General features: G+C 46.2%; 2 long non-coding RNA genes and 1 pseudogene across 3 annotated transcripts, besides 1 other annotated feature; 1 reads left to right on the top strand and 2 right to left on the bottom strand.

Moving 5' to 3' along the window:
* On the top strand, positions 1,511-13,952 carry LINC02784 (long intergenic non-protein coding RNA 2784). The gene is made up of 3 exons (NR_183669.1): positions 1,511-1,756; positions 13,033-13,084; positions 13,250-13,952. It is a non-coding gene; the product is annotated as a long intergenic non-protein coding RNA 2784 (long non-coding RNA).
* Positions 1,526-1,726: a silencer, noted in NCBI's record as "peak241 fragment used in MPRA reporter construct". NCBI's record gives its function as "represses an SCP1 promoter by STARR-seq MPRAs in K562 erythroleukemia cells {active_cell/tissue: K562}" and the evidence as "EXISTENCE:reporter gene assay evidence [ECO:0000049][PMID:32103011]".
* TALDO1P1 (transaldolase 1 pseudogene 1) lies at positions 5,191-5,464 on the bottom strand (annotated as a pseudogene).
* Positions 12,905-15,859, bottom strand: LOC105378735 (uncharacterized). Of its 2 annotated transcripts, none has more exons than XR_947373.3 (3): positions 15,512-15,597; positions 13,632-13,804; positions 12,905-13,251 (listed from the first exon to the last, which is right to left on the bottom strand). It is a non-coding gene; the product is annotated as an uncharacterized LOC105378735 (long non-coding RNA). The 2 variants fall into 2 exon arrangements; XR_947374.3 differs by lacking the exon at positions 15,512-15,597 and adding an exon at positions 15,773-15,859 and having other exon boundaries at positions 13,159-13,251.
* Positions 15,860-19,230: the final 3,371 nt, after the last annotated feature.

Genomic DNA, 19,230 nt, shown 5'->3' with positions numbered 1-19,230 from the left:
TGAGCCTAGGAGTTTGAGCCTACAGTGAACCATGATCTGGGCAACAGAACCTGTCTCAAAAAAATAAAATAAAACCTCTAAATGCATTACAGTGTCTCACAGTAAAGGTCCAGTTAAGAGCATAGCACCCAGTAAATCTTTCAACTAGACAAAATAATTCAGAGAAAGGGAGCTAAAGAGGTGGCTTCCCCACTCTATCAGGTCCAGGAAAACAGAAACTAAGGAATCTCAGACACAGGTAATTTAATGTAGGGAATTGGTGTTACACAGATATTGGGAGTTTGCAAAAACAAAAAGGGGATGTTGATATCACCCAGATATTAGTAACTACAAAAAGCAGCTGCCACTCCTGGGAAAGAAGTAATCAGATACTAGTAAATGCCAAATCAGGAATAAAAGGGAAGAGGCATGGCTACTAGAACCTAACTGCTTGGAGGGGAGGCCCCACATGGCTGCTACAGACTTTCAAGGGGCATCACCCGGCTGGTGTGTGGATATCTGAGTAGCTGGGAATGGGACCTCTGGGGGACTGGTCTTCACACCGCTAAGAGATGTGGCCAGATGGCACTGAAACTTCTGAGGGGACTGGATATGGGTGGTGCTGAGACAGCCAAAGGAAGCCAGGGGCTGAAGCCATTGCTGTCCCTTGCTGCTGGAACGAAGTCCTGTTTCTCCTCTTACCTTGAGATCATCTGCCAGTTCCTCCCAGCAGAAGAACCTAACAGGAAGCCAACTGGCAAGGACACCTGGGAAACGGTGGTTTGCTGAGTTTTGGTCAAAACAGACCATAATGCACAAGGGCGATCTTAGAGCTGGGAGACTATAAGAAAACAACCAGCACACCCAACAAAGGCTGCTGGCCCAAGATACACACATTTAAGTCAAGGAGGGGCCAAATGCGGTGGCCCACGTCTGTAATCTCAGCACTTTGGGAGGCCAAGGCAGGAGAATCGCTTGAGCCCAGGAGTTCGAGACCAGCCTGGGCAACATAGGGAGACTCCATCTCTACAAAAATATTTTTTTGTTAATTAGCCAGTCATAATGGTGCACACCTGTGGTCCCAGCTACTTGAGAGGCTGGGGCAGGAGGATTGCTTAAGCCTGGTAGGTCAAGGCTGCAGTGAGTTGTGATCACATCACTGCACTCCAGCCTGGGTGACAGAGTGAGACCCTGCCTCTAAAAAAAAATCCATTTTGACTATTTTCCTTTGTAAATGTGACACAGAGACTTCTGATCATCCCCTGATATCTATTGTTTTTCTTCCTCAGTATTAGAATCCTGAATTTTAACCGTGCACATGCCACTCAAAATAAAGACTGCATGTGCCTGCCTTCCCTGCATCTAAGTGTGACCAGTAGATATGCAGATAACCAAGATCTGACCAGTAGGATGTAAGTGAAAGTGGTGTATACAACTTCTGGGATGCATTCTTAAAGCAGGAAGGGACATGCCTTTCTCCCCTGCTGCCTCCTTCTTGCTACCTGGAACATAAACATGTTGGCAGGTGCCCAAGCAGCCATCTTGGACCATAGGTGAAAGCAGCATTTTGGGGATAGTGGAAACTCAAGAAAGAGGCAGCCAGGTTTCTGGTAGTCATGGAGATGTCATACCAGCCTGAATTGCCTGTGTTTATTGCATGTGAGAAAGAGGAAGACTTTTACCTTATTTGCCTTATTATTACCTAAACATTTGCCTTACTTAAGCCATTGATATTTGAGGAAGTCTGTCCCTTGCGACTGAAACTAATCCTAACACAGTAAGTAATCTGGAATATTTTTTTCTCTCTAGAAGCTTTTAGGGGTTTCTCTTTATCCTAGGTTTTCTGAAGTCTTGATGATGTTTCTAGATGTGATTCTCATTTTATTCATTTTTCTGGGCACTTGGTAGGCCCTTTCCATCTATAGACTTATGCCCAGGAAATTCTTTTATATTATTTCTTTGATAAGTTCCTCTGTTCTATCCCTGAATACCTATTAGTTTGTTATTGAATTGATCCTGTGTCTCTTATCTTTCCACTGCTATTTCCATTGTTTCGTCTCATTTTAATTTATGGAATATTTGATTTTAATTACTCGATGATTTTACTTTTCTATTTTAGCAGTCATATTTTTTACTTTTCAAGGACACTTTCTTTTTGTTGCCATTATTGTTTAGTTTGTTCTTTTTTCTATCTTTTTTTTCCCCCTGAAACAGAGTCTTGCTCTGTCGTCCAGGCTGAAGTCCAGTAGTGCGATCTCGGCTCACTGCAACCTCTGCCTCTTAGGTCAAGCGATTCTTCTGCCTCAGCCTCCCGAGTAGCTGGGATTACAAGCACACACCACCACACCGGGCTAATTTTTGTATTTTTAGTACAGATGGGGTTTCACTGTGTTGGCCAGGCTGGCCTCAAACTCCTGACCTCAGGTGATCCACCCACCTTGGCCTCCCATAGTGCTGGGATTACAGGTGTGAGCCACCCTGCCTGGCCAGTCTGTTCCTTTTTCTTTTGTTTTTTGTTTTTTTGAGATGGAGTCTCCCTCCGCTGCCCAGGCTGGAGTGCAGTGGCGTGATCTCTGCTCACTGCAACCTCGCCTCTCCTGGGTTCAAGCGATTCTCCTGCCTCAGCCTCCTGAGTAGCTGGGATTACAGGCGAGTGCCACCATGCTCAGCTACATTTTTTTGAATTTTTAGTAGAGACAGGGTTTCACCATGTTGGTCAGGCTGGTCTCGAACTCCTGACCTCATGATCCGCCCGCCTTAGCCTCCCAAAGTGCTGGGATTACAGGTGTGAGCCACCAGGCCCGGCCAGTCTGTTCCTTTTTCAAAGCATCTACTCATGTTGTATGAACCTAAGATGGCTTTGAATCTCCAATTTTAGTATATGTGCTGCCAAAGCAAGCATGACTTTGAATCTCTCTGAAGACATTAAGTATTTTAGAGTTCTCTTCTGTCTCCTGAATGAGTTCTGTTTCCTCTAGGGTTGTTTCTGACCTTTGCTTTGTGCAGACTTTTCTCAAATGTATGCTGATGAGCTGTCAGTCCATATTTCAGAATGAGACAATAGATTGGGAGCTCTGTGTGAACAGGGTGAGGCTTACTAGTAGGCAAATTCAGGATTTGGGGTAAGAAACAGGTCATGATGCTGGGAGACCCCAGAGGGCTTTTTGCAAAGGTCTTTTTTCTGGGACCATCCAATTTCTTTGGAGAAGAGTCTTCAAATGGTGTTCCTGTGTGGTAGATGCCAAGTTTCTGGGCATTCAGATGCAACAGGACCTTCATTTAATCCCTAACTCTCTGCCCAAGTCTTATCCTCACCTTTAGTCCTGCGACTATTGGTATATTAGTCCGTTTCTACACTGCTATAAAGATACTACCTGAGACTGGGTAATTTATGAAGAAAAGGGATTTAATTGACTCACAGTTCCTCATGGCTGGGGAGGCCTCAGGAAACTTACAGTCATGGAGGAAGGCAAAGGGGAAGGAAGGCACATCTTACATGGTGGCAGGAGAGAGAAAGTAAAGGGAGAACTGCCAAACACTTATCAAACAACCAGATCTCGTGAGAACTCCCTCACTGTCATGAGAACAGCATGGAGGAAACCACCCCCCTCATCCAATCACCTCCCACCAGGCCCCTCCTCCAACATGCCAGGATTACAATTCGAGATGAGATTTGGGTGGGGACACAGAGCCAAACCATATCAGTCAGTTCTGCAAGACATACCACCTTCCTCCTTAGCTACATCCACCTCCATAGTATGCTAGGCTACTCCTCCATCTCTTTTATGTCTTTTTTATTGGCTAACTGCTACAATTTGTTGAAATTTCTTATTTGCTGATATCTCTCCCTTCCAGCCTCTTCATTATTGTGGATTTGTACCTTTTTATTTTCTTTGCTGTCATTTTAGTGCAGTCTTGTTAAGGAGGGGAAATTTTAAAAATAAATAAATATTGTCAGCCGGGCACAGTGACTGTCTTCTGTAATCCCAGCACTTTGGGAGGCCGAGGTGAGTGGATCACCTGAGGTAAGGAGTTCGAGACCAGCCTGGCCAACATGGTGAAACCCTGTCTCTACTAAAAATATAAAAAATTAGCCAGGCATGGTAGTGGGCGCCTGTAATCCCAGCTACTCAGGAGGCTGAGGCAGGAGAATTGCTTGAACCTGGGAAGTAGAGATTGCAATGAGCTGAAATCACACCGTTGCCCTCCAGCCTGGGCAACAAGAGTGAAACTCCGTCTCAAATAATAATAATAATAAATAAATAAATATTGTCAGAACACCATTTTAAACTCAATTAGTAATAATATTGAAACAGCCTGAGACTATATTTTTGTCATCTTTAAAAACAACAGGCCAGGCACAGCGGCTCACACCTGTAATCCCAGCACTTTGGGAGGCCACAGCAGGTGGATCACTTGAGCTCAGGGGTTCAAGACCGGCCTGGGCAACATAGTAAGACCCATCTCTACAAAAAAAACAAAAATTAGCCAGGCATGGTGGCACCCACCTGTGGTCTCAGCTACTCAGGAGGCTAAGATGAGAGAATCACCTGAGCCTGGGAGGCAGAGTTTGCAGTGAACTGAGATCATGCCACTGCACTCCAGCCCGGGTGACAGCACAAGACCCTGTCTCAAATAAAAATAACAATAAAAAAAAAAAACAACAAAAGATCATTGCATTATCAATGAAAACTTCTAGAACTCTTCCTATATGAATCCCTTTTAATCTCCACGTTCTGTTTAGATAATTGACATCTGAGTGCAAAGCATGGCTCTTACTTTTATTTCATAATGTTAGATTTTTCTTGGTTCCAGTCTGGGAATCTGTTTGTCTTTGATTTACTTGTTTGTTTTTAATAACTCTCAGATGCATAGAACTGGATTAATCATAATCCTTGGCTCAACACACTCATAGCTGTCTTTTATATTTATTTATTCTTCATTTGTTTGTCCACTTTTTAATTTATTTAACTAATAGACTATTTTTTAGCAGTTTCAGGTTTACAGAAAAATTGAGTGAAAAGCACAGAGAGTTCCGATATATCCTTATTTCCCACTCCAATTTCCCTTATTATTAAAATCTTGAATTAGTAGGGGGCATTTGTTTCAACTGATGAGCCAATACTGATATACTATTAATTAAAGTCCATAGCTTACATTAGGGTTCATTCGTATACATTCTATGGGTTTTAACAAACATCCATTTTTTTTAAGTGACTGCTTTAATGTATTAGGCAAAATTTTACATAAAATCAGAAATCTATGATCTGTCCCTGCTCCGATTTGTAAAAAACGCAAGATTCATCAGAAGCCATGTGCAGTCAGACCCCAGCTGGCCAGCAGTGCAGATCTGGAGTCCAGCCTCATGGCTGCACTACTTTCCATTCTCTGCATTGAACATTCATTCTGTCAGCATCCACTCCAGCTTCACTGCGTCAGCAGCAGACTTGCGGATCCCATCAGAGAGCTTCTCCACAGCCATCTGCATCCATTTATTTTTCATTTTTATTTTATTTATTTATTTTTTGAGACAAGGTCTCACTCTGTTGTCCTAGCTGGAGGGCAGTTCACTGTAGACTCAATCTCCCAGCCTCAAGTGATTTTCCCACCTCAGCCTCCCGAGCAGCTGAGACTACAGGCACACACCACCACACCCAGCTAATTTTTTATTTTTTATAAAGACAGGGTCTCACTATGTTGTCCAGGCTGGTCTCAAACTCCTGGCTTCAAGTGATCCTCCCACCTGGGCCTCCCAAAATGCTGGAATTACAGGCATAAACCACCACACCCAGCCCCACTTATTTTTAATAATGTAATGAAGATCTGTGAACCTACCACCAAAATTGTATAGCATCAGTGACAAATTTAATCTACCAATATTCTTCTCCCCATCTCATCCCCAGGGAATCACTATCCTGAATTCGTATTTCTTATTCTCTCTCCCTGATGGAGTTAGGGGTTTTGTTATTGCTGTTTTGCTACCGCAGACTGCTGTAAGGAATATCCTTATACATGACTCCTGGTGCTATACAAGAGTTTCTCTTGAGTATATCTAGAGTGGAGTTCCTGGGATATATAAAAATGTCCAGTGTTACAAAATAATAATAATAAATTGGTTTTCAAAGCAGTTGTACCAATTTATACTCCAACCAGCAATGTATAAGCAGTCCCATTGATCCACAGCCTCTTTAATTGTCAGACTTTTCAATTTTGGCCATTCAGATGCAGAATGGGATTTAATTGTCTTGAATTTCATTTCCCTGATTACTAGTAAGATGAGCATCTCTTCAGAAGTTTATTGACTATACATGTTCACATTTTCTCTTCTAAGAACTGTTTGGTCATGTTTCCCCCCCAACCCCGCCTTTTTATTTATTTATTTATTTTGACTGGGCTAGTTGTTCTTTCTTACTAATTTTAATTTTACATAGTCTTTTTCTTTTCTTTTCTTTTCTTTTCTTTTTTTTTTTTTTGAGACAAGAGTCTCGCTCTGTCGCCCAGGCTGGAGTGCAGTGGTGCCATCTTGGCTCACTGCAACCTCCACTTCCTGAGTTCAAGCGATTCTTCTGCCTCAGCCTCCCAAGTAGTTGGGACTACAGGCACACACCACCACGCCTGGCTAATTTTTTTTTTTTTTTTTGTATTTTTAGTAGAGATGGGGTTTCACCATGTTGCCCAGGATGGTCTCGATCTCTTGACCTCGTGATCCACCTGCCTCAGCCTCCCAAAGTGCTGGGATTACAGGTGTGAGTCACCTCACCCGGCCAGTCTTTTTTTTTTCTTTTTTAAGGCTAGACATAATTTTACATATTCTTGACACCTATCTGTTATTGGTTATCTGCATTACAAATGTCTTCTTTGTAGAGTTTGTTTGTTTGTTTGTTTGTTTGTTTGTTTTAAGATGGGGGTCTGTCTCTGTCTCCCAGGCTGGAGTGCAGTAGCAATAACACAGCGCACTACAGCCTGGAACTCCCAAGCTCAAGAGATCCTCCCACGTCAATCTCCTGAGTAGCTGGGACTACAGGCACACACCACCACGTCTGGCTACATTTTTTTTTTTTTTTTTTTTTTGTAGAGACAGAGTCTCACTATGTTGTCCAGGCTGTTCTCAAACTCCTGGGCTCAAGCAATCCTCCCACCCCAGCCTCCTAGAATACTGGGATTACAGGCGTAAGCCACCTCACCCAGCCCTCTGGAGTATTTTTACTTTAAGATTCCTTTTCAGAAAAAGAAGTTCTGGGTTTTAATATAGTCAACTATATCAATCTTCTATGTATGTGTGTGTGTATATATATATATATATATATATATATATATATATATGTATGTGTGTATGTATTTTTAGAGACAAGGCTTGCTCTGTCACCCAGGCTGGAGTGCAGTGGCACTATCATAATTCACTGTTCACTGTAACCTTGAACTCCCAGCCTCAGCCTCCCAAAGGGCTGAGATTACAGGCATGAGACACCATGCCTGGCCTATATCAATCATTTATGGTTAGCACTGTTTTTTTTTTGTTGTTGTTTGTTTGTTTTCAGACAGTCTTGCTCTGTCACCCAGGCTGGAGTGCAATGGTACAGTCTCAGCTCACTGCAACCTCTGCCTCCTGGGTTCAAGCGAGTCTCGTGCCTCAGCCTCCCGAGTAGCTGGGATTACAGGCGTGTGCCACCCACCTAACTAATTTTTTTGTATTTTTAGTAGAGACGGGGTTTCACCATGTTCCCCAGGCTGGTCTTGAACTCCTGACCTGAGGTGTTCTGCCCGCCTCAGCCTCCCAAAGTACTGGGATTACAGGCGTCAGCCACCATGCCCATCCTATGGTTAGCACTTTTAAGGCCTTTGTAAAGAATTACCCCAAAGTCAAAAAGATTTTCACTTACACTTTCTCCTCGAAGTTTCAAAGTGCTATTGTTGATATGGACTTTTGGTTAAAAAGTTGGGTACAAATCCAATTTCATTTTTCCGTGTCTATAACTATGTTTTCCACTTCCATTTATTGAATAGTTTCCCTTTCCCCACCAGGGAGACTGAGGCCAGAGAGATTCAGCAACTTGTCCAAGATCACACAGCTAATAAGTGTCAAACCTAGGCAGTCTCCCTCCAGAATCTGCCATAGTTTTCATCTCTGCAATACTGTCTTTTGCTTCTATTATGTAAATTAAATGCAAATCTCTGGCAGGCTTTCAATTCTATTCCACTCATCATTTTGTCCATTCCTGCATCAACTCCACACTGTTTTAATTTTTAGGGCCTTTTCATAAATCTTGATATCTGGTTGGGCAAGTCATATGGTTTGGATCCATGTCCCTACCCAAATCTCATGTTGAAATGTAACCCTCAATGCTGGAGATGCGGCCTGGTGAGAGGTGATTAGATCATGGGGGCAGTTTCTCGTGGTTTAACACTATTCTCCCTTGATGCTGTCATGGCAATAGTGAGTTCTCATGAGATCTGGTTGTTTAAAAGCGTGTGGCACCTCCCCACTCTTTCTCTTGCTCCTGCTCCTGCCCCTGCCGTGTAAGATATATCTGCTTCCCTTTCATCTTCCACCATGATTGGAAGTTTCCAGAGGCCTCCCCAGAAGCAGATGCTGCCATGCTTCCTGTACAGGCTGCAGAACTGTGAGCCAATTAAACCTCTTTTCTTTATAAATTACCCAGTCTCAGCTGGGCGCAGTGGCTCACACCTGTAATCCCAGCATTTTGGGAGTCTGCGGTTGGTGGATCATTTGAGCTCAGGAGTTCAAGACCAGCCTGGGCAACATGGGGATACCCCATCTCTATAAAAAAAATACAAAAAATTAGCTGGGCATGGTGGCACGTGCCTATAGTCCCAGCTACTGGGGAAGCTGAGGTGGGAAGATCACTTGAGCCTGAGAGGCAGAAGTTGCAGTGAACTGAGATCATGCCACTGCACTCCAGCCTGGGTGACAGAGTGAGACCCCACCTCAAAAAATAAAAATAAAAAATAAATTATCCAGTCTCAGGTATTTCTTTATAGCAATGCAAGAGCAGATTAATACAGCATGTCTAACCACCTTATTCTTTAGAAATGCCTTGGCTATTTTTTTGATCTTTATTCTTATACACATATTTCAGAATCAGTATGTCAAGTTCCTTAGAAATCCCTGTTGGAATATCAGATTGGAGTTGCATTAAATTTATTTATTTATTTATTTATTTATTTATTTATTTATTTATTTATTCATTTATTTATTTATTTTTTAGACGGAGTTTTGCTCTTGTTGTATTTTTGGTAGAGACAGGGTTTCTTCATGTTGGTCAGGCTGGTCTCGAACTCCTGACCTCAGGTGATCGGCCCACCTCGGCCTCCTAAAGTGCTGGGATTACGGGCATGAGCCACCGCCCCCGGCTATCTATTCATTTAAGGAGAATTTATACCTTTATCATTGTTAAGTCTTTCTCACCATTTATTTAAGTCTTTTTAATGCCCTTCAGTTAAATATTAACTTTTTTCCATGCTGGTTTTGCAGTTTTTACTCCTTAGACATTTTATAATGTTCCTTAGATGCTTGTTTTACTGCATTATAAATAGGTCTTTCTCATTACATTCTCTTCACCTGGCGCCCATGTTTCCCAAGGCATCATGGCTGGGCGGCAGGGGTTCTGTGAACCTTCTGAGACCCTATGTGCATTTTGTTGGGGAGTTCTGTACTCCTGCCAGATTCCCAAATAGCAACTGCCACCAGTACTAAATGTTTGTCATGTGACAGGTATTCCCCTGAGCACTTTACAAGCCCCACAACCACCCCGAAACATAAAGGCAGTTATTCTCCTCATTTTCTGGATGAGGACACTCATGCTCACACAGATTAAGTACTTTGCCTGAAGTCACACAGCTGAGAAATTAACAGCCAGCATTCAAACCAGTCTGTCTGACCCCAAAGCTGTACACTTAACCTCTGTACTTGGTAGCCTTCAGAGAGATTGATGGGCCCTGCTCTAGGCCTAGGCACTTGGCCTCTCTGGGCTCCTGTTTGCTTATCTGTAAAATGGGGAAAAGAATTACCTCTTCACCTCCATCTCAGGGCTTTTTGGAGAGTTGCTGAGGCCACAGATGGAAAAGAGGCTCTATAAACTCTAAAGTGCTGCCACGAGGCAGGTGAGGTAGCGGAGAAGGCAGGGGCCCAGGGTTGCAGAGCTGGCAAAGGCCCAGCCCTCTGTCCCATCATCACTGCTAGCTTCCCAGGCAGCCTCTTCCCAGGAGATGGAGGACCCCCAGGCCGAGCTGGGGAGAGGCTGTGTCCCCTTAACACTGCTCTGCGCACCAGGGCCTGGGCTGAGCGAGGTGGAGACACAGAATCAGACATGGCCACGTTGGGGAAGGCCCACATCTGGTGGGTCTGACCTTAATAGATGGTGACAGCAAGGGGTGAAAGTGCCATGACACAGTCAGGCCTGGGGGTGGCAGGAGCACAGAGAGGAGACTGGTCCAGCCCGGGGAAGCCAGGGAAAGCTTCCAGGTTGTTGTGGTATCCAGGTTGTTGTGTTGTGGTATCTTTTTTTTTTTGAAACAAATCCAATGAAGTTTTTTTGTTTTGTTTTGTTTTGTTTTTTGAGACAGAGTCTTGCTCTGTCACCCAGGCTGGAGTGCAGTGGCACGATCTCGGCTCACTGCAACCTCTGCCTCCTGGGTTCAAGTGATTCTCCCATCTCAACCTCCTGAGTAGTTGAGATCACAGGTGTGTGCCACCACGCCCAACTAATTTTTTTGTATTTTTAGTAGAGACAGGGTTTCACTATGTAGGCCAGACTGGTCTCGAACTCCTGACCTCAAGTGATCCATCCACCTCGGCCTCCCAAAATGCTGGGATTACAGGTGTGAACCACCACACCTGGCCCCTGTAGTGGCATCTTGTACCACCCTGGCCAGTTCCCCTTCCCTAGACGACCATCACCCACCTTCACTTAGGGCTTCCTCCAACCCAGCCCTAGGAAGCAGCCAGGTCAACTTCTGAAGATGTGCCCCTGTCTAGAACCCTTTAGTGACCTCTGCTGCCCTTACAACAAAATCCATAGTCCTCCCTATGGTCTTTCATCTGGCCCCTGCCCCTCCTTTCCTGGTCTTGCCCCACACTCACTACACTCCAACTCCACTGATTTCCTCAGACTCACCCAGCTCTCTCCTGCCTCCACCGCAGCACTGCTGGGCCCTCTGCCTGGAGCAGCCCCTGCACCCCCCAACATAAACACACACACTCTCCCTGGAAAGCTCCTTCTCACCCCTGGATCTCAGCTTACATGGCTCCTCCTCAGACCTCAGAGACACCTTTCCTGACCACCCCATCTAAAGAAGGCTGCCGTCTCAAAAAAAAAAAAAAAAAAAAAAGAAGAAGAAGAAGGCTGCCCCAGGCTTTCTATTCTCTGTCTCAGCCCCTTGTTTCTTTCCTAGCTTCTATTATAACTTCCAATTATTTTGTCTAGTTCTTGTTCTCTCTCCTGTCTCTCCTATCCCTTCCCATACAAATGCTTCATGAGGGCAAGGGTCATGCCTGCTTATTCTCAATAGTCTCCTCAGTGCCTGGCCACAGCAGATACTCAAAAAATATTTGTTGGATGAATGAATGAATTAGCAAATGAATGAATGAATGAATGAATGAATGAATGAATGAATGGACTGGATCTTAAAGGAGCTCGAGCTGCACTGCCCAATACAATAGCCACTAGCGACATGTGGCTATTTAAATTTAAATGAATTAAAAGTAAATAAATTAAAAATTCAGCCCTTCAGTTGCACTAGTCATATTTCAAGGACCCAACAGCTACATGTGGCTCATGGCTACCATATGGGATAGTAGGGATATAGAACATATCCGTCATTCAGGACATTCTACTGGACAATGCCACTCTGCATTATCTTAAAGGCAGAGAAGGTGGACCGGGCATTAGGAGCAGGGGCACAGCATGTACCAAAACCTACAAGTGGGAGAGCATAGTAATGGTGTGCCCTGGAATAAAGAAGGGGGGCACTTCGCCCCATCTCTACACAGCCCTGTTTCTTATTAGAAACTTTGGCTTAAGGCAAGGGAGGATATTGGAGCAGGGAGAGTTCTGAGACAAGCTGGTTCCATCCATCCCCATCAGAAGCGGAGACTGTGACCCAGACCGGGAAGGGATTTACTCAAGGTCATAGAGAAAGTCGCATAAATGGGGCCAGAACCTGAGGCTCCTGATTCCTGGTGAATGGAGTCAGTTTCCCCCTACCAGGCTCATAACCACCTCCTCCCTCCTTCCTGGGTCCCGTCCCCCGACTGCCAGGCCATCAAGTTCACAGAGCCCCCCAGGTACTTACACTGGCCGCTCTTATCTCTTATTTACTCATTAAAGTAACCCTCCCAGCATCTGACCCTTAGAATTTTAGACATCCCAAGGAGAATAGCTGCTTATAACCATTTGCTAATTGCATGTATGGATGTCAATTAATTCATTTAGCTAATTAGCCACTCGATGAGCACCACGCACCAAAGAACTGTAAAAGACAGGCATATGGTGAGAGAGCGGGATGGCTGGGTGCTCATGCAGCATGCAGGGATGGGGAGGGCAGGCAGTGGCTCCAGCTCCCCACCCCCAGATGAGTGGAGGGAGGCAGCTTAATGGCTGGGGAAACAGAGCTGCCACCGCCACTGCTGTTGCCGCTGCTGCTGGCATAAAGCATAATTACAGCTTCCTACTAATAGTGCCGGGAAAACACACACGCACACACATAATCATGTGCACAGACAAGCACACATATGAACGCATGTGTCTATTTACACATACCCACACTCAGATGCACACAAACATAGCACGCACATATCCATAGGTACAATGTACATGCACACACATGGACACACACAGGTAATGGACATGTGGGATCATGTGAGATCAATCCACAGAAGTGTTCTTAATCCAGTGCTATGCTTGGTGGAGTCTAGAAGGGAATTCTCTTTTATTGCACCCACTTTGTGCCAAGCACTGTGTTCAGCCCTTCCACATACAGTATTACTTAATCCTCACATAATCTCACAAATAATGAATTATTTTCACTCTACAGAAAGGAAACAGAGGCTCAGAGAAGCTAAGACATTTGCACAGGACCACAGCTGGTAAGTGGCAGAGGAAGGGGTGATTTCTTTGCCTCCATGACCACAGGCTGCAGGAGCAGGCGGAGGGAAAGGGGATTTTCATCTGCTTTGGAGAAAATAATCTTTTTGTGGGGGACCAACTGCTTCAGAAGTGAAAATGGGCTGTTCACAGGCTTCATTCCACAGGGCTGAGAAGAAAAATTGAATACTGATGAGAAAGAAGATGGATAGAAGAGAGAGACATGCAACTGGGACTCTAACAGAAATGCCATTCTCCCTGGGAAGGGACTAGCCCAGTCAGCAGCCACCTCACTCCATGAGTTGGTTCTGAGGCACCCTCTGTGCCAGGCAGCTCGGGACACAAGGTGAATTAGATCCAACCTCACAGCCATGTGAGGCAGACAGAGTGACACAGACTCTGTCACCAGAAGAGCAAGCATTTGAACGGGCTGTCAGATGGAGAGCCCAAGCACTTTCTGCTCTAGGTTCCCTCCCTCTGCTGCAGTTGGGAGAGGCTGGGCTGGGAAGCCCACATGAGCCGTTGCAGCTCCCTGCAAGGGACTCTCACCTCCTCTCTCAGGCCTCCTCTCCCTGGGCTCCTGGCCTGGCCCTTCACACCTTTCTCCAACTCCATCATGACTGCAGGCTTTGGCCTTCCCTCAGGAAAAGAACGAATTTTTCTCCACAAAATTCTATAATCTCTTCCAGCCTCTCCTTTTAGCTACTGTCATATCCATTCACCTAAGTGATAACAGAAGACCACAAGTCAGATGACTCATATATTCACCTATTCAATAAACACTCCAGAGCATTCCTCTGGCCTAGGACTGATGAGTCTCACAATCTTCTAAGCAAAAAATAGAACAAAAAACAAAAAAACCTGCCAGACACAATGGCTCCTGCCTGTAATTCCAGCACTTTGGGAGGCCAAAGTGGGAGGATCACTTGAGCTCAGGAGTCCAAGACCAGCCTGGGCAACATGGAGAAACCCTATCTCTACAAAAAATACAAAAATTAGGCAGGTGTGGTGGCATGCACCTCTAGTCCCAGCTACTCAGGAGGCTGAGATAGGAGAATTGCTTGAGTCCAGGAGGTTGAGGCTATAGTGAGCTGTGATCGCACCACCTCACTCCAGCCTGGGCAACAGAATGAGATCCTGTCTCAGCAGAAAAGAAAAGCCCTGTAGTTCAAGTCTTAGCTCACATCAACATGGCTGGGGGAGGTAGCTCATACCTGTAATCCCAGCACTTTGGGAGGCTAAGGCAGGCAGATCGCTTGAGCCCAGGAGTTCAAAACCAGCCTGGGCAACATAGTGAGACCCCCATCTCCACAAAAAAAAAAAAAATAATAATAATAATACAAAAATTAGCCAGGTATGGTGGCACACACCTGTAGCCCTAGCTACTCAGGAGAGGTTAAGGTTGAAGTGAGCTATGATCGTGCCACTATACTCCAGCCTGGGCAACAGAATAAGACTCCATCTCTCTCTCCTTCTCTTTCTCTCTGTCTCTCTCTCTCTCTGTGACAAGGCCTGGCTCTGTCACCCAGGCTAGAGTGCAGTGGCACCATCTCAGCTCACTGCAAACTCTGCCTCCCAGACTCAGGTGATTCTCCCACCTCAGCCTCCTGAGTAGCTGAGACTACAGATATGCACCACCACACCCAGCTAACTTTTGTATTTTTTATAGAGTTTTAAAGTACTAAATTTTAAAGTTCTAAGTTTCACCGTGTTGCCCAGGTTGGTCTCGAACTCCTGACCTCAAGTGATCCGCCCACCTCAGCCTCTCAAAGTGCTGGGATTACAGGTGTGCGAGCCCATCTCTCTCTCTCTCTCTTTTTTTTTTTTTTTTCCTTCTGAGATGGAGTTTCACTCTTGTTGCCCAGGCTGGAGTGCAATGGTGCCATCTTGGCTGACTGCAACCTCTGTCACCCGGGTTCAAGCGATTCTCCTGCCTCAGCCTCCCGAGTGGCTGGGCTTACAGGCGTGTGCCATCACGCCCAGCTAATTTTTTTCTATTTTTAGTAGAAACAGCGTTTCACCATTTTGGCCAGGCTGGTCTCGAACTCCTGACTTCAGGTGATCCGCCCGCCTCGGCCTCCCAAAGTGCTGGGATTACAGGCGTGAGCCACTGCGCCCGGCCAATCCCATCTCTTTAAAAACAAAAACAAAGAAACATGGCATCCAGTACTACCAGTTAAAAATCTTTGTGTTGTAAGTGACAGAAAATCCAACACAAGCAAGCCTCAACAAAGAGGAAATTCACTGGCCCACATAACTGAGAAGCCCAGGGGTGTTGTGCTGCTTCAGGCATGGCTGATTCAGGGGCTCCAGCAAAGTCACCAAGCCATCTTTCTCCACCCCTTCTCTTACTGGCCCCTGTGTGTTGGCTTCACTCTAAGGATCTACATAATGATGACAGGGCAGCAGCGGCTCCAGCTTCACATCACCTCAGTCAAGTCCACCTGGAAAGAGGGGCTTTTCTTTTTTTTTCTTTTGAGACGGAGTCTTACTCTGTCGCCCAGGCTGGAGTGCAGTGGCGTGATCTCAGCTCACTGCAACCTCCGCCTCCCGGATTCAAGCGATTCTCCTGCCCCAGGCTCCCGAATAGCTGGGATTACAGGCGCCAGCCACCGGGCCCGGCTAATTTTTGTATTTTTAGTAGAGACGGGATTTCACCATATTGGCCAGGCTGGTCTCAAACTCCTGACCTCGTGATCCACCCGCCTCAGCCTCCCACCGTGCTGGGATTACAGATGTGAGCCACGGAGCCCGGCCTGGGCTTTTCCAAGATCTCCTATGGCAGCACTTGGACTCACTCTGATTGGATGCACTCAGGTCACATGCCTACCTCTGAGCCAATCACCACAGGCAGCGGAATGGTATGTTCGGATTGGCTGGATCCAGGGGTGGAGTCCCACCCAAAGCACTTGGACCGGGAATAGGGAGGGGCGACCCCCAAATGTCAGAAGGAGGACTGGATAAGGACCAGGAGGCAAACTACCAATATCCACTACAGTGTTCTAAGGTTTCTTTTTCTTCTTGTTTTGTTTTGTTTTTGAGACAGAGTCTCGCTCTCTCGCCAGGCTGGAGCGTAGTAGGGCGATCTCAGCTCACTGCAACCTCCGCCTCCCGGGTTCGAGTGATTCCCGCACCTCAGCCTCTCCAGTAGCTGGGACTACAGGCTCCCGCCACCATGCCCGGCTAATTTTTGTACTTTTAGTAGAGACGGGGTTTCGCCATGTTGGCCAGGATGGTCTTGAACTCCTGACTTCAAGTAATCTGCTCGCCTCGGCCTCCCAAAGTGCTGGGATTACTGTGAGCCACCGTGAGTAGCCAAGTGTTCTAAGTTTTAAAGGCAAGCAGGGTAGGGATTATCAACCCCATTTTGCAGCTAAGGCTGAGAAAGGAGATATGCCCAATAAAAATTATAGAGGAAGGAATTGAGTCAGGGTTTGAGCCAATTTGACTTAACTTCCACCTTCAGCCCTTCCCCGCAGCAAGCATCCAGCAGTACTCACCAGGCATCCAATCTTGGACACACCACCTTCGTCAGGCTTTGCTTTCTGCAGCCAAGGATATGGGCCTACCGACTGCGTGAGAAAGGCCTCCAAGGCTGAGCACTCGGATATGAGCCAGCTTGCTGTACAAAGCATCAGGACCCCAGCTTGTCCTCACTCCAGGACAAGCTGAAAGCCTGCAACTCAAATCTCCCCGGGGACTTTCTCTCTGCCCCAGGTATGCTGCAGGGCAGGCCAGAAGGGTCCAGAATCAGCTCTCAGCAATGACCAGTGGCAGTTGGAGGATACATACACCAGCTTCTTTGCCTCTTGAGTAGGATTACAAGGTGGGGTCTGTTTTACCCAGAGCCCCAACGTGGTGACGAGCCTGATCACACAGCCTTCATCACTGTCTTCCCTTCATCTCATTTGCCCATCTCTCTCCCAAACAAGCTTTCATTCTAATCCTTGTAGTGGGATCTGTGTATGGGAAAACACAACTTAAGGCACCCCCCCCCCCCCCCTTCTACTAAATCAGGGTAGGGGAAGCCTGAAGGGATTCATCTAGGTAGCTGATTTTCAAGTATGTTTCTAGTAGAACCCTTTTTTCAAATGCCTTTCTTCCCTGTCTCTTTTGTTTTTACTCCTCCCCACTCCTGCACTCCAGGACTCTTCCCTTCCTCTCCTTTGCTCCCATTAAGTCCCAAATGTCCCAGATCGCCTGTTGAGTCTTGTGACTTCACAGTCCCTGGCATGTTCTAAGTCAAAGGCATTTTCTTCTCTGCCAGGTTGTCTACTGAGGGGAGGCAGAAGCTTTGGGTCCTGTGGGTGGTGATGGAGGAGGCCATGGAGTATGAGTTGCCGTTTGCTCTCTCTGCTTGCATCTAAGAAATCAGACACATCCCACACCTCAGAAGCTAGTTTCCTGTTGAAAACCCTCACTGTGTCTACATATTTTCTCTGATAATGTAACTTTGGCCTAATTATGCTGCAGGAATTCTTCACCCTCTCTCACCCTAGGAAACTTTACAGAACCGTCTTACATGAACCCAACATTGGAGAGGACCGTGCCAAAGGGGTCCAGGCTGATTGAGTACTGGGTTTCTCCCCCAGCTTCATAGGGGATATGGGAACTCTATCTTTCTATCCCTTTCATCTGCTTCCCCACCCTCTCCCTCTCAAGGGTCATCTTCCTCTAGGGTATTTGGAAATAGGGGTGCTATGGTTTGAATGTTTGTCCTCTCCCAAAATTCATATGTTAAAACGTAATCCTTAATATTGTGTGATAACATTAAGAGGTGGAGCATTTAGGAGGTGATTAGGTCATGAGGGTTCTACCCTCATAAATGGGATTAGTGCCCTTATAAAAGAGGCCCCAGACAGTTAGCTTGCCCCTTCAACCAAGTAAGGATATAGCAGGAAGGCACCGTCTTTAAAGCAGAGAGCTGGGCCGGGCACAGTGGCTTATGCCTGTAATCCCAGCACTTTGGGAGTCCAAGGCAGGCGGATCACAAAGTCAGGAGATCAAGACCATCCTGGCCAACATGGTGAAACCCCGTCTCTACTAAAAATACAAAAATTAGCTGGGCGTGGTGGCGTGCGCCTGTCATCCCAGCTATTCGGGAGGCTGAGGCAGGAGACTCGCTTGAACCCGGGAGGCAGAGGTTGCAGTGAGCCGAAATCACACCACTGCACTCCAGCCTGGCAACAGAGCAAGACTCCTTCTCAAAAAAAAAAAAAATTGCTGAGAGCCTTCACCAGATGCTAAATCAGCTGGTCCCTTGATCTTGGACTTCCCAGCCTCCAGAACTTTGAGCAATAAATTTCTATTGTTTATATATTACCCTACTCTAAGGTATTTTGTTATAGCAGCTTGAACTAAGGGAGTATGCAGTTATCACATGCTGTGCAACAAATAAATACCAAATTTTAGTGATATAACACAACTGTTTATTATGCTTACAAATTTTGTGGGTCAGAACTTCAGGAAGCTGGGCAGTTCTCATTTGGGACCTCTCATGCGGCTGCAGGCAGATATCAGCCAGGTCTGCAGTTATCTAAAGGCTTGACCAGACCCAAAGATGCACTTCTAAAGTGACCCATTCACATGGCTGGCAGGCAGGTGCCAGCTGCTGGCCAAGGGCCTCAGCTCCTCTCCCTGTGGGCTTCTCCACAGGGTCGCTTGAGTGTTCTCACAGCATGGCGGCTGGTTTCCCCCAGAGCAAGAGAGCCAAGGATCCAAAGAAGAAGCCACAATGCCTTTTATGACCCAGTCTTGGGAGTCACATCTTCACTTTCATCTTATGCTATTGGTCCCACAGAGCCAGCCCTGATTCAGTGTTGGACAGAACTACACAATGATGTGTGGGTTACTGGGGCCATCCTGGAGGCTGGCTACCACAGGAAGTGTAATTTGAGTCCTCAGGATTGCTGTGTGTAGTCATGTATTCTGAGAATTCAGGGCAGTAGAAGCACACAGGTCCACAGCAGGGTCTCCAAAGCCCTTGTCAGATGTCACTGTCAGGAACATTAATCAGCCATCCCCTCACAGTGTCCCTCTCTCAGGCCATGTTCCTCTCACAAGCTCACAGGACTCTCCTAACCCATCCCTCCCCACCCATGTTGTCCATAGGGAAGCCCCATCACCTACCTGCTGCCCATGGGCCTCT

The sequence above is a fragment of the Homo sapiens genome, chromosome 1 (genome assembly GCF_000001405.40).
Source record: "Homo sapiens chromosome 1, GRCh38.p14 Primary Assembly".
In the NCBI taxonomy this organism is placed as follows: Eukaryota; Metazoa; Chordata; class Mammalia; order Primates; family Hominidae; genus Homo; species Homo sapiens.
This window is presented reverse-complemented; position numbering and strand designations above follow the sequence as displayed.